General features: G+C 38.4%; 1 protein-coding gene across 1 annotated transcript in view, besides 1 other annotated feature; it reads left to right on the forward strand.

Annotated features, from left to right (window-relative positions):
- SLCO1B3-SLCO1B7 (SLCO1B3-SLCO1B7 readthrough) overlaps nt 1–15,243 on the forward strand; it is a 275,549-nt gene that overhangs the window by 252,166 nt on the left and 8,140 nt on the right. Inside the window, exon 15 of the mRNA NM_001371097.1 lies at nt 8,613–8,730. Within this exon, the coding sequence (NP_001358026.1) occupies nt 8,613–8,730 (118 nt within the window). The remainder of the gene's footprint in view (nt 1–8,612; nt 8,731–15,243) is intronic.
- Nucleotides 5,573–6,772: an enhancer, noted in NCBI's record as "P300/CBP strongly-dependent group 1 enhancer chr12:21226346-21227545 (GRCh37/hg19 assembly coordinates)". NCBI's record gives its function as "activates an origin of replication core promoter dependent on BRD2, BRD4, P300/CBP, MED14 and CDK7 cofactors, with strong dependence on P300/CBP, by STARR-seq in HCT116 cells {active_cell/tissue: HCT116}" and the evidence as "EXISTENCE:reporter gene assay evidence [ECO:0000049][PMID:35650434]".

Consider the following 15,243-nt stretch of genomic DNA (forward strand, 5'->3'; position numbering starts at 1 on the left):
TACCTGGTCCTGTAAGGCTGACCAACTAACCACTAGCAGAAGTTAATGCAAAAGGGAATGAGAATTCAGACTCTAGAACTGGACATCTTAGATTAAGAGCGTGTACTGAATAAAAGAAAGATCAGAAAATTGTGGTTTATTATTGGTGAAGAGTAAGATTATAGACTCCAGAGGCTAAAGGCCTTTTTAAATTGTTTTTAAATTTATTTTTTGTTATTTCAGTAGGTTTTTGGGAAATAGGTGATGTTTGGTTACATGAATAAATTCTCAGTAGTGATTTCTGAGATTTTGGTGCACCCATCAACCAAACAGCGTGCACCGTACCCAATGTGTAGTCATTTATCTGTTACCCACCTCCCACCCTTTCCCGAGTCCCCTAAGTCTACTGTATCATTCTTATGCCTTTACATCCTCATATCTCCCAATTATGAGTGTGAACCTGTGGTGTTTGGTTTTCCATTCCTGAGTTACTTCTCTTAGCGTAGTAGTGTCCAATTCCATCCAGGTTGCTGTGAATACCATTATTTCATTCATTTTTATGGCTGGGTAGTGTTCCATGATATACACAGACCACATTTCCTTTAACCACTTATTGATTGATGGGCATTTGGGCTGGCTCCATATTTTTGCAATTGCAAATTGTGCTACTATAAACATGCATGTGCAAGTATCTTTTTCATATAATTACTTCTTTTTCTCTGGCTATATACCTAGTATGGGATTGCTGGATCAAATGGTAGATCTACTTTTATTTCTTTAGGAAATCTCCACATTGTTTTCCATAGTGGTTGTACTAGTGTACCTTCCCTCAAGCAGTGTAAAAGTGTTCCCTTTTCACCATATCCACATCAACATTTATTATGTTATAATTTTTTGATTATGGCCATTCTTGGAGGAGTGAGGTGGTATCGCATTGTGGTTTTGATTTGCACTTCCCTGATAATTAGTGATGTTGAGCATTTTTTCATATGCTTGTTGGCCATTTGTGTATCTTCTTTTGAGAATTGTCTATGCATGTCCTTAGCCCACTTTTTGATGAGATTGTTTGGTTTTTGTCTTGCTGATTTGTTTGAGTTGTTTGTAGGTTCAGAATATTAGTCCTTTGTCAGATGTATAGATTGTGAAGATTTTCTGCTGTTGTGTGGATTGGCTATTAACTCTGCTGATTATTTCTTTTGCTGTGCAAAAGCTTTTAAGTTTAATTAACTCCCATCTGTTTATCTTTGTTTTTGTTGTATTTGCTTTTGGGTTCTTGGTCACGAAGTCTTTGCCGAAGCCAATGTCTAGAATGGTTTTTCTGATGTTATCTTCTAGAACTTTTATGATTTCAGGTCTTGTATTTAAGTCTTTGATTCATCTTGAGTTGATTTTCATATAAGGTGGGAGATGAGGATCCAGTTTCATTCTTCTACATGTGACTTGCCAATTATCCCAGCACAATTTGTTGACTAGGGTATTCTTTCTCCACTTTATATTTTTGTTTGCTTTGTCAAAGATCAGTTGGCTGTTAGTATTTGGCTTTATATCTGGGTTCTCTCTTTTGTTCTATTGATCTATGTGCCTATTTTTATACCAGTACCATGCTGTTTTAGTGACTATGGCCTTATAGTATAGTTTGAAGTCAGGTAATGTGATGCCTCCAGATTTTTTCATTTTGCTTAGTCTTGCTTTGGCTATGCAGGCTCTTACGTGGTTCCACTTGAATTTTAAGATTATTTTTTCTAGTTCTATGAAGAATGATGGTGGTATTTTGACAGGAATTGCATTGAATTTGTAGCTTGCTTGTGGCAGTATGGTCATTTTCACAATATTGATTCTACACATCCCTGAGCATGGGATGTGTTTCCATTTGTTTTTGTCATCTATGATTTCTTTCAGCAGTGTTTTGTAGTTTTTCTTTTAGAGGTCTTTCACCTCCTTTGTTAGGTATATTCCTAAGAATTATTTTATATTTTTGCAGCTATTGTGAAAGGGGTTGAGTTCTTCATTTGATTCTCCACTTAGTCACTGCTGGTGTATAGCAGAGCTACTGATTTGTATACATAGATTTTTGTATCCTGAAACTTTGCTGAATTCATTCACCAGCTCTAGGGGCTTTTTGGATGAATCCTTAGGGCTTTCTATGTTTACAATCATATCATCACCAGTGACAGTTTGGCTTCCTTTTTACCAATTTGGATGCCCTTGATTTTTTTCTCTTGTCTGATTGCTCTGGCTAGGACTTCCAGTACTATGTTTAATGGAAGTGGTGAAAGGAGGCATCCTTATCTTGTTTCAGTTTTCAGGGGGAATGCTTTCAACTTTTCCTCATTCAGTAAAATATTAGCTGTGGGTTTGCCATAGATGGCTTTTGTTGCCTTAAGGCGTGTCTCTTCTATGCCAGTTTTACTGAGGGTTTTAATCATAAAATGATGCCTGATTTTGTCAAATGCTTTTTCTGCATCTATTGAGATGATCATGTGATTTTTGTTTTTAATTCTGTTTTTGTGGTGTATCGTGGTGTATTGACTGGTGGATGTTAAATCATCGCTACATCCCTGGTATGAAACCCACTTGATCACGGTGTATTATCTGTTTGATCTTCTGTTAGATTGAGTTAGCTAGTATTTTGCTGAGGGTTTTTGCTTCTATGTTCATCAGGGATATCGGTCTATAGTTTTCTTTTTTGTTATGTCCTTTCTTGGTTTGGGTATTAGGGTGATACTGGCTCTAAAGAAAATTTAGGAGGAATACATTCCTTCTCTATCCTGTGGAATAGTGTCAATAGGATTGATAACAATTCTTTTTTGAATTCCTGATAGAATTCAGCTGTGAATCTGTCTGGTTCTGGACTTTTTTTGTTGTTGTTGTTGGCAGTTTTTAGATTACCATTTCGATCTCACTGGTTTTTATTGGTCTGTTCAGAGTTTCTATTTATTCCTGGTTGTTTATTTCCAGGAATTTATCCATCACCTTTAGATTTTCTAGTTTATGCACTTAAAGGTGTTCATAGTAGCCTCGAATAATCTTTTGTATTTCTGTGGTATCAGTAGTAATATCTCCCATTTAGTTTCTAATTGAGCTTATTTTGATCTGCTCTCTTTTCTTGGTTAAGCTTGCTAATGGTCTATCAATTTCATTTATCATTTCAAAGAACCAGATTTTTGTTTCATTTATATTTTGTATTTTGTTGTTGCTGTTGTTTCAATTTCACTTAGTTCTGCCCTGATCTTTGTTATTTCTTTTCTTCAATTGGCTTTGGGTTTGGATTGTTCTTGTTTCTCTAGTTCCATAAGATGTGACCTTATGTTGTCTATTTGTGCTCTTTCAGACTTTTTGATATAGGCATTTAAAGCTATGAACTTTCCTCTTAGCACCACTTTTGCTGTATCCCAGAAGTTTTGATAAGTTTTGTCACATTTTTGTTCCTTTCAAAACTTTTTTAAATTTCCATTTTGATTTCATTGTTGACCCAACAATCATTCAGGAGACAGTTATGTAATTTCCATGTATTTTCATGGTTTTTGGTGTTCCTTTTTCTGCTAATTTCCAATTTTCTTTCACTGTGAGAGAGTACTTGATGTAATTTCCACTTTCTTAAATTTACTGAAACATGTTTTGTGGCCTATCATATGGTCTATCTTGGACAATGTTCCATGTGCTGATGAATAGAATGTATATTCTACAGTCATTGGGTAGAATGTTCAGTAAGTATCTGTTAAGCTCATTTATTCTAGGCTGTAGTTTAAGTCTATTGTTTCTTTGCTAACTTTCTCTCTTGATGACCTATCTAGCACTGTGAGTGGAGTATTAAAGTCCCCCACTATTATTGAGTTGCTGTCTATCTCATTTCTTAGGTCTAGTAGTAAGTTTTTTATATAAATTTGGGAGCTCCAGTGTTAGGTGCATATATATTTAAGACTCTGATATGTTCCTATAGGACTAGTTCTTTTATCATTATATAATGTGCCCCTTTGTCTTTTTAAACTGCTGTTGCTTTAAAGTTTGTTTTGTCTAAGAATAGCTACTCTTGCTCACTTCTAGTGTCCATTTATGTGGAATATCTATTTCCACTCCTTTAAGTTTATGTGAATCCTTATGTGTTAGGTGAGTCTCTCCTGAAGACAGCAGAAACTTCGTTAGTGAATTCTTATCCATTCTGCCATTCTATATATTTTAAGTGGGGCATTTAGGTCAGTTACATTCAACGTTAGTATTGAGATGTGAGGTACTATTCTATTCATCGTGCTAGCTGCCAGAATACCTTGGGTTGTGTGTGTGTGTGTGTGTGTGTGTGTGTGTTATTGTTATACAGGTCCTGTGAGATTTATGCTTCAAGGAAGTTCCATTTTGGTGTCTTTTGAGGATTTGTTTCAAGATTTAAAGCTCTTTTAGCAGTTCTTGTAGTGCTGGCTTGATAGTGGCAAATTCTCTCAGCATTTGTTTGTCTGGAAAATACTTTATCTTTCCTTCATTTATGAAGCTTAGTTTTGCTGGGGACAAAATTCTTGCCGATAACTTTCTTGTTTAAGGAGGCTAAAAATAGGAACTCAATCCCTCCTGGCTTGTACAGTTTCTGCTGAGAAATCTGCTGGGATTCTGATAGGTTTTCCTTTATAGGTTACCTGATGCTGATGTTTTTGCCTCACAGCTCCTAAGATTCTTTCCTTCATCGTGACTTTAAATAACTTGATGAATACGTGCCTAGGTGATAATCTTTTTGTGATGAATTTCCCAGGTGTTCTTTGAGCTTCTTGTATTTGGATGTCTGGATCTGTAGCAAGGCTGGGAAAGTTTTCCTTGATTATTCCCTTAAATACGCTTTCCAGATTTTTAGATTTCTCTTCTTCCTTAGGAACACCAATTATTCTTAGGTTTGGATGCTTAACCTAGTCTCAAACTTTCTGGAGGCTTTGTTTATTTTTTAAAATTCTTCTTTCTTTCTCTTTGATGAATTGATTTGGTTTGAAAGCCTTGTCTTCCAGCTCTGAAGGTCTTTCTTCTGCTAGTTTGATTCTATTGCTGAGACTTTCCAGTGCATTTTGCATTTCTCTAAGTGTGTCCTTGACTTCCAGAAGTTGCGATTGTTTTTGATTTAGCTTATCTATTTCACTGAGAAATTTTCCTTTCATATCTTGTATCATGTTTTTTATTTCCTTAAGTTGGACTTCACCTTTCTGTGGCGCCTCATTGACTAGCTTAATAATGGACCTTCTGAATTATTTTCCTGGCAATTCAGAGGTTTTGTCTGGTTTAGATCCATTGCTAGTGAACTGGTGTGACTCTTGAGGGTGTTAAAGAACTTTGTTTTGTTATATTATCAGAATTGTTTTTATTGTTCCTGCTCATTTTGTAGATTATGACAGAGGGAAGATCTGGAGCTCAAGGGCTGCTGTTCAGATTTTTTTGTCCCATAGGGTGCTCCTTTGATGTGGCAATCTACCCATTCCCCTAGGGGTGGGGCTTCCTGATAGTTGAACTGCAGTTGTTGTTTTTACTCTTTTGGGTCTAGCCACCCAGTGGAGCTACTGGGCTCTGGATTGGTACTAGGGAGTGTCTGCAAAGAGTCCCTGTGATGTGATCCATCTTCAGGTCTTTCAGCCATAGATACCAGCATTTGCTCTGGCGGAGGTAGCAGGAGGTTGAAGTGGACTGTGATAGGGTCCTTGGTTGTATTTTTGTTTAGTTCACCGGTTTTGTGTGGGTTGGCCTCCAGCCAGGCAGTGGTGCTTTCAAGAGTACATCAGCCGCAGTACTATAGAGAGGAAGCAAACTTGCCCTAGGATCACCTGGTTAAGTATTCAGGTTTCTCAGTTGGTGGGCAAGGCCATAGAGCTCCTAAGAGATTATGTTCTTGTCATCGGCAGCCAGAGCAGGTAGAGAAAGATCATCAGGTGGGGGCAGAGGTAGGCATGTCTGAGCTCAGACTCTCTTTGGGTAGGGCTTGCTGTGGCTGCTGTGGGGGATGAGGGTGTGGTTCCCAGGCCAATGAAGTTATGTTCCCAAGGGAATTATGGCTGCCTCTGCTGAGTCACACAAATTTCAAAAGAAGTAGTGGGGGACCAGGTGAGCGGCAGGGGGGCGTGGAAGGACCGGCAGTAACAGGCCTTACCCTACTCCTATCTAGCATGCAGTCCTACAGGCTGATCTCACTGCCACTGTGACCCCCAACAGCACTGAGTCTATTACCAGGTATTTGGTGACGAAGGCTAAAAACTTGCCCCTAACCACCAGCCTCCCTGCTGAGAAAGGAAGCTGACTCCGTTTTTTGGCATCTCAGGGAGCCTGCAGCTGGTGATACAGTTTCTTCAAAGGGTTTGTGGATTCTCTCAGCTTTCCCACTATGTTGCTATGGTAGTTCTTGGAGAAAAAGTTCGCGATGTGAGTCTCCACATGCTGCTCTGTTTGTCCAAGTGAGAGCTGCAAGCTAGTCCTGCCTCCTATCGGCCACCTTTTAGAGGCCTATATTTTAAATATTCAAAGTTGATTAGAAAAGATTTAGAAAATTACCCTTTCTCCCTTGTTGCCATTTGCCCTCTTTACTGCACAGCTGCCTGTTGTTAAACAATGTCTAGCCTAACCCCTGTGAGTGCTCCTTCGTAAGAACTGTAAACCTTATATGCTTATTCCTGGGAAGTAGCAAAAGGGCATCATCCATCTAGGGATTGGTGCAGAGGACTGATTATGGCCCATAGGTAACCACTGATGGCAGAAGGAAAAGGAAGTGGGAGGGGTCAGTTTCTGGGACCCTTGCAAGCAAAGGAAAAAGTATGGCCAAGTTACAATGGAGTTGTCATGAAGTGTAGTTGGTGAGAAGGTCACAGATCCTGAAAGGTAAAAAGAAGTGCAAAGGGAATAGGAGAGAGAAGATGGAGATGCTGCAGGGTTACATCGGTTCTCTTCCCAGTATTCCCTTTCTGTGTCCCTAATCTTCCAGCCTCTGTAATCTTGGCAGTTCTCTACCTTCAGATTCAGTGAAGATACCTCACTCCTGGAACTTGAACACAGAGGCTGAAAATAGTTCTGGGTAGTTAGTATTTCTTCTGATATGTTGAAATGAGACTGAAAATAGAAATTATTTTAGCAACATAAAATAGAAAAAAATAAATCTGGCCATCCTAATTGTGAACATCCAATTTCGATGTGTCCACCATATGCCACAATGAAGCTCAAATGCCTCTATGGGAAAAATGCACACTTAGTACCAAACTTCCAATTCACAAACAATCATCTTAAATATGGTATGTCTGTAAATTGTGGAAGGCCTATTATAATATATAGTGTATTAAATTGAAAAAGTTATTTAGAAAATAGGTCATCAGAGGTTTCTAATTCCAGTAATTAAGTGTTAGTTAACACATTTACTTCATAAAGTTTGTTTAAACCAGTGGCATAATGTGAAGAAAATAAATTGTTGACATCTATTTTTTATTTTTCAAAGGTGCTCCTGAGTTTTTGAAATCTGCAAATTTCTCACCCATTTTGTCAGCACTAGATTGCTTCAGATACATTGGCCTCAGACACCATTCCCTTGTCATTCTAATATTTCTTACTGTCAGAAATTGAGAATGATTAAAAATAAGCAGAATCAGTAAAGTGCCATATATAAATCACTGTCATGTTTTGTGACAAAATCTGAAAAGTATGAGTCACAAAAAAGAACAAGAACAAACTAAAATCTTGTATGCTTCAGTTCTAACATCTGAAGGATAGCTCTCTACTACGATGTCCTTCAAAATTTTGACCAAATTACCTATGCTTAAAACTAGGAGTTAATCTCAGAATGTATACTTCTCCTATAAACAATGTATGTATTCCTGGAATGCTGTACCTTCCGTGAAACCATGCACTACAGATAAAAATTGACTTAGGGACAGACCACTGAAATGTATGCACCGTTGTGATAAGACCACTAACAGAAACAAAATTTAGCAGCGAACCTGACCTGTACAGCCTAGGCTGCTTTAGGAGATATTAAGAAAAGCATTAAATCAATGGAAAGAAAATGCTGGACTGTGGTCTTTAAGAGCACCAAGAAGGAGGAAATGGGGTTCTGAGCCCAGAAAGAAGTAAAACTGGCCAATAGCTGAGCACTCTTTGAAACCAGGCCTGAACATCTCTGGGGGAGGGAATCCTGATGTAAGCATTCACTTTTTAATTTTCTTAAAATAGTATTAAAAATCTTTGACTTTACAGCAGTTGAGGTGAGAGCTTTTTCCTTTTCCCATAAGGTTGTAATTTGACTCCCAGTAATCCAGTCTTTCTTGCCTAAGAAAAATTGTATATGAATCAATATGATTTCCATGTTTTACTAATAACGTTCCCCTTTTACCAATCAGGTTTAAGTTAATCGATGTTATAGGAAGAACAGAGTATATAGGTATATAGTCCTCCTTCTTCCCTATGAATATAGGGAGGGAAGAGTAGATCAAATATGTCTATGACATTACCATATGACTTAAGCCTTTGAGCTTCCTAATAATTGTGATTCTTGGGTAGATGTAGGCCAAAACAATGGAATAATTTTCCAAAATTGTAAACTTTTTTAACTCAAAATATATCAATGTTGAATATCACCCAGTTATATCTGAAACATTTTCCTTGGATTGATATCTTCTTATCTCATGTTGCAGGAGGTATTCTAGTTCCAATATATTTTGGGGCTCTGATTGATACAACGTGTATGAAGTGGTCCACCAACAGCTGTGGAGCACGAGGGGCTTGTAGGATATATAATTCCACATATTTGGGGTAAGTTGTCATAAATATATTTTATTAATAGATTTTTTCTTTGACTATGTTAATTCCTAAGTCTATCATTTTAGTGTGATTATAATATTAATAATGATAGCTACCATATAGTGAACCCTTGCTTTGTATTTAGTATTGTTTCAGGCATTCTGGTATCTCATTTTAATAATCATAGAAACTGTAGAAAATCACTATTTTCTCCTTCTTTAAATATGAAGAAAATAGGTTTCAAGAATAATGAATAACTTGTCCAAAATAGCATAACTAAAAGAAATACAGCTGGGATCTGTACTTGAATCTCTTTTTATTACAAAATTCTCCTCCTCTGGCTTCTCCAGGAAGATGTAGAATGACCAGCTGGGCTCTGGTTATATGGTCATTGAGGAAAATATGGGAAAAAATGTTTCCATACTCTTCATAGGCAAAGGTATTCTCTTAGTGACATTAAGATAACTGGATGATCATCTGGAGGAAAACAAGCTGCTGCAAGTGTGCCTTACTAATTATAGAAACATTAGTTTGAAATTTATATATTGACCAAATACACAAATTTTACATGTGAAATTATAAGTATTAGAACTACTCACATAGGATTTCTTTTAATTATCTAGGAAGAAAAAAATGTGTTTCTAAGTGTATTAGTCGATTCTCACACTGCTAATAAAGACATACCCAAGACTGGGTAATTTATAAATGAAAGAGGTTTAATTGACTGACAGTTCTTCAGGTCTGGGGAGGCCTCAGGAAACTTACAATTATGGCAGAAAGGGAAGCCAACACATCTTTCTTTACATGGCAGCAGCAAGGAGAAGTGCAGAGTGAAGGAAAAGAAGAGCCCCTTATAAAACCATCTGATCTCGTGAGAACTCATTCACTTTCATGAGAAGAGCATGGAGGTAACCATCTCCATGATTCAATTACCTCCCAATGGGTCCCTGCCATGACACATGGGGATTATGGGAACTGCAGTTCAAGATGAGATTTGGGTGAGGACACAGCCAAACAATATCATTCTGTCCCTGGCCCCTCTCAAATCTCATGTCCTCACATTTCAAAACACAATTATGCCTTCCCACCAGGCCCCTAAAGTCTTAACTCATTTCAGCATTAACTCAAAAGTCCAAGTCCAAAGTCTCATTTGAGACAAAGCAAGTACCTTCTGCCTATGAGCTGGTAAAATCAAAGCAGATAAGTTGCTTCCTAGGTACAATGGGGAGTACAGGCATTGGGTTAATACACCCATTCCAAATGGGAGAAATTGGCCAAAACAAAGGGGCTACAGGCCCCATGCAAGCCGAAAATCTAATAGGGCAGTCTTTAAACCTTATTGTTCCAAAATGACCTCCTTTGGCTCCATGTCTCACGTCCAGTTTACACAGATGCAAGAGGTGGGCTCCCATGGTCTTGGGCAGCTCTACCACTGTGGCTTTGCAGGATACAGCTTCCCTTCAGGCTGCTTTTAAGGGCTGGCATTGTGTCTGCAGCTTTTTCAGGCACACAAAGCAAGGTGTTGGTAGGTCTACCATTCTGGGGTATAGAGGATGGTGGGCATCTTCTAACAGCCACACTAGGGAGTGCCCCAGTGGGGACTCTGTGTGGGGGTTCCAACCCTACATTTCCCTTCCACACTGTCCCAGCAGAGATTCTGCATAAGGGCCCCATCCCTGCAGCAAGCTTCTGCCTAGAAAGTTCCATACATGTTCTGAAATCTTAGCGGAGGTTCCCAAACCTCAATTCTTTACTTCTGTGCATCTACAGGTTCAACACCACATGGAAGCTGCCAAGGCTCGCGGCTTGCAACCTCTAAAGCCATGGGGCAAGCTGTACCATGGCGTCTTTTAAAAATGGCTGGAGTGTCTGGGACTTGTAGCACCAAGTTTCTGGGCTACACACAGCAGGGGTCCCTGGGCCCAGCCCACAAAACCAGTACTTCTCTTAGGCCTCTTGTTTTGTGATGGGAGGGGCTGCCACAAAGGTCTCTGACATTCCCTGGAGACATTCTCTCCATTATCTTGGCAATTAACATTTGTCTTCTCATTACTTATGTAAATTTCTGCAGCTGGCTTGAATTTCTCCGCAGAATATGGGTTTCTTTTCTACTGTATCATCAGGCTGCAAATTTTTCAAACTTTTATGCACCACTTCTTCTTGAACACTTTGCCACTTAGAAATTTCTTCCACCAGATACCCTAAATTATCTTTCTCAAGTTCAAAGTTCCACAGATCTCCAGGGTAGGGGCAAAATGTCACCCAACTCTTTGTATAGCAACAGTGACCTTTACTCCAGCTCCCAACAAGTTCCTCATCTCCATCTGAGACCACGTCAGCCTGGACTTTATCATCCATATCACTATCAGCATTTTGTTCAAAGCTATTCAACAAGACTCTTGAAAGTTTCAAACTTTCCCACATCTTCCTATTTTCTGAGCCCTCCAAGTCTCTAGGAAGTTCCAAAGTTTCCCACATTTTTCTGTCTTCTTCTGAGCCATCCAAACAATTCCAACCTCTGCCTGTTACCAAATTCCAAGGTTGCTTCCCCATTTTGGGATATCTTTACAGCAGTGCCCCCTTACCTGGTACCTATTTACTGTAGTAGTCCAGTCTCACACTGCTAATAAAGACATACTCAAGACTGGTAATTTATAAAGGAAAGAGGTTTAATTGACTTGCAGTTCTGGAGGGCTGGGGAGGCCTGGGTAAACTTAAAATCACAGCAGAAGGGAAAGCAAACACATCCTTCTGCACATGGCAGCAGCAAGAAGAAGTGCCAAGCAAAGAGGGAGAAAAGCACCTTATAAAACCATCAGGTCTCATGAGAACTCACTCACTACGAGAACAGTGTGGAGATAACCATCCCCATAATTCAGTTACCTCTCACTGGGTCCCTTCCACGACATTTGGGGATGATGGGAACTATAGTTTAAGATGAGATTTGGGTGGGGACACAACCAACCCATAACACCAAGTATGACCCAAATGCCCCAAATGATAATTAAAAAAAAAAAATGGTGGAAGGATTTTTATTGCTTTGGGTTTATACCCAGTAATACAATTAATGGGCTGAATGGTAATTTTGTTTTACATTCTCTGATAAACCACCAGACTGCTTTCTACAATGGCAGAACTAATTTACAATCCCACCAGTAATGTATGAGTGTTCCCTTTTTTTCACCACCTTGTCAGTATCTGTTATTTTTTTACTTGTTAACAATAGCCATTCTAACTGGTGTGAGATGGTATCTCATTGTAGTTTTGATTTGTATTTCTCTAATAATTAGTGATGTTGAATCATAAGTGAGCCTATGGAACAGAAAATCAAATACCACATGTTCTCTCTTTTAAGTGGGAGCTAAACATTGAGTACATATGGACACAAATAAGGGAACAAGAGACACTGGGGTCTGCTTGTGGGTGGAGGGTGAGAGGAGGGTGAAGATACAAAGCTACCTATAAGTGACTATGATTATTACCTGGGTGACAATAAGTCTGTACACCAAACCTGCATAGCATACAATTTACCTACATAACAAACCTGCACATGTACCCGTGAACCTAAAATAAATGTTAAAACAAAGAAGATAAAGAAAAGGAACAAATAATAAAATATTTTAAAAACTGCATCACCAGAACTTATTTTAAGTGAAATTCAACAGCAAAAGATAAATTAGAAGAATTTCTAAGTCAGACACAGACATAGGCAAATGTCCTATGTATATAAAAAGCTCTTAAAAATTAACAAAAACACCACCAAATGCTGGCAAGAATGAGATAACAGGAATTTTCTTTCATTGCTGGAGGTAATATAAAATGGTACAGCCATGTTGGAAGACAGAGTCAAAGTTTTTTAAAAGCAAAAGATAGATTTACTGTATGATTAAGCAATCATGCTCCCAGATATTTACCTAAATTAATTGGAAACATGTCCACAAAAAAAAACCCTGCATTTGAATGTTAAAAAGTGGAAGCATTTAAGATGTCCTTTAATAGGTAAACAAATAATTGAACTGTGGTACATTCATACAATGGAATATTAGTCATCAATGTATTAGTCCATTCTCAGGATGCTATAAAGAACTACCTGAGACTGGGTAATTTATGAAGAAAACAGGATTAATTCATTCACAGTTCAACAGGCTTTACAGGTAGCATGACTGGGAGGCCTCAGGAAACTTACAGTCATGGCACAAGGCGAAGGGGAAACAAAGCATATCTTCTCATGGCAACAGGAGAGAGAGAGAGAGAGCGCAAAAGTGGAAGTACCACACACTTCTAAACCATCAGATCTCATAACTCACTCACTATCTTGAGACCAGAAAGGGGGAAATCCACCCCCCATAATCCAGTCATCTCCCACCAGGCCCCTCCTCCAATTTGGCATGATATTTGGGCAGAGACACAAATCCAAATCACATCAATCAATTAAAAAAAAATGAGCTATCAATCTACAAAAAGAAAGAAAGGAAAATTAAATGTGTAAATAAAAGAAGGCAGCCTACAAAGCTTCAGATTGTATAATTTTAACTGTATAACTTTGTAGAAAAGGCAAAACAATGGGCAATGAAAAGATCAGTTGTTTCTTGGGGCTCAGTGGGGAAAAGGAATGGATGAATAGGTCTGAATAGGTCTGACACAAGACATTTTTTGGGCTAGTGAAACTATTCTATATGATATTATAATGTTGCATCATAATATGCATTTGCCAAACCTTTGGAAATTTACAACATAGAAAGTGAACTCTAATGTAAAATATGGACTTAATAATGTATCGGTATTCTTTCATCATTTGGAACAAATGTGCTGTACTAATACAAGGGGTTAATGATAGGAGAAACTGTGCGTATGTTGGGCAGGGAGCCCTCCATACTTTCTGTACAGTTTTCTGTAAAACTAAAATTGCTATAAGATATAGGAACTAGTAAAGAAAAAAAATCATCAAACATTTTCCAAAAAAGTCACTAGAGGTTATGAAACATGAAAATATGAACATCATTTTTTTATTCATTGACAATAAGAGAATTGCAATTAAAAGTCACCCAGATTGTCAACAAAGGTGTTGATTGGAGATTGTGTTTGCAAAGTAAATGACTTTGAGCCAGTGGGAGTACTTCTAGGAATTTATCCTCTAGCAAGCTATATTCCCAAAATACTGAAAACAATGTAAATATCAATCAATAAGTTATCAAATAGTGACACATGCAGGCAAATGAATATTCTGAGTTCTTAAAAAAAGAAGAAACGAGATATGTATTTTCTAATATGGACCCTATTCACAATATATTGTTACATTAAAAAAAAGGACAAAGCAGGAAGAATACGTGGAGCATGCTATTGTTTATGTAAAGTGGGGAATGTTTCTTAGTTCAGGTGAAATCCCTGGAGAAAACTCCCTGGGTCAAATTTACTAGAACCTTCTCTTACTTAATATGTAAATTCACTATCAAACATTCCCAACAAGTAATGATCCAGCTTTTCCTGGAATTGTAGTAAAGCAGCATTCACTACCCCACATTCTCCTAACTTTAAGTCTTATTATATAAAATGTCTTCCTAAATGGTAGATTTTATTTCCACGAATAAAAGTATGGAAAGAAATAAAAAAGCAACACTTACTAAATTTACTTTAATGACATTATGTTAAGAAAGTGTTTATTTCTGTCTGTTTGTTTGCTTTTTGAGACTGAGTCTCGCTCTGTTGGCCAGGCTGGAGTGCAGTGGCGCAATCTCGGCTCACTGCAAGCTCTGCCTCCAGGATTCACACCATTCTCCTGCCTCAGCCTCCCAAGTAGCTGGGACTACAGGCGCCTGCCACCAGGCCCGGCTAATATTTTGTATTTTTAGTAGAGACGGGGTTTCACCGTGTTAGCCAGGATGGTCTCAATCTCCTGACCTCATGATACACCCGCCTAGGCCTCCCAGAGTGCTGGGATTACAGGTGTGAGCCACTGTGCCCGGCCGAAAGTGTTTATTTTTATTTGGAATTATAACTCATTTTAGGACAACTGTCAAGATGCTCCTCAGAATCTCCCCAAAGCAATGATCACCAAGTCCAAGCATTAACATCACATTTTAGGATAGCATTACTTTAGTTACTTTAGTTTCAGTATGAAAAGACTTCTAAAACAATTTTTTAAAAAACCCATATTAGTTTCTTTTCCTTTAGTGAAGGTTTTGGTAGAACTAAAAGGAAATGTGTGTGTGTGTGTGTGTGTGTGTGTGTGTGTTGTGTACACCCACACATATATATGTATGTGTGTATGTAAGTGGGAAGCAACAGAAGAGGTCAGAGGGATGTGATGTGAGAACGACTATGCATATTGTTGCCGGTTTTGAAGTTGAAGGAAACGGCCCAGAAGCCAAGGAATGTAGGTCGCCTCTAGAAGTGGGAAAAGACAAGGAAACAGGTTGTAGAGCTTACAGAAAAAAAATGCAGGGCTAGGCGCGGTGGCTTATACCTGTAATCTCAGCACTTTGGGAGGCCAAGGAAGGTGGATCACTTGAGGTCAGGAGTTAGAGA

Source organism: Homo sapiens, chromosome 12, assembly GCF_000001405.40.
Source record: "Homo sapiens chromosome 12, GRCh38.p14 Primary Assembly".
Taxonomy (NCBI): Eukaryota; Metazoa; Chordata; class Mammalia; order Primates; family Hominidae; genus Homo; species Homo sapiens.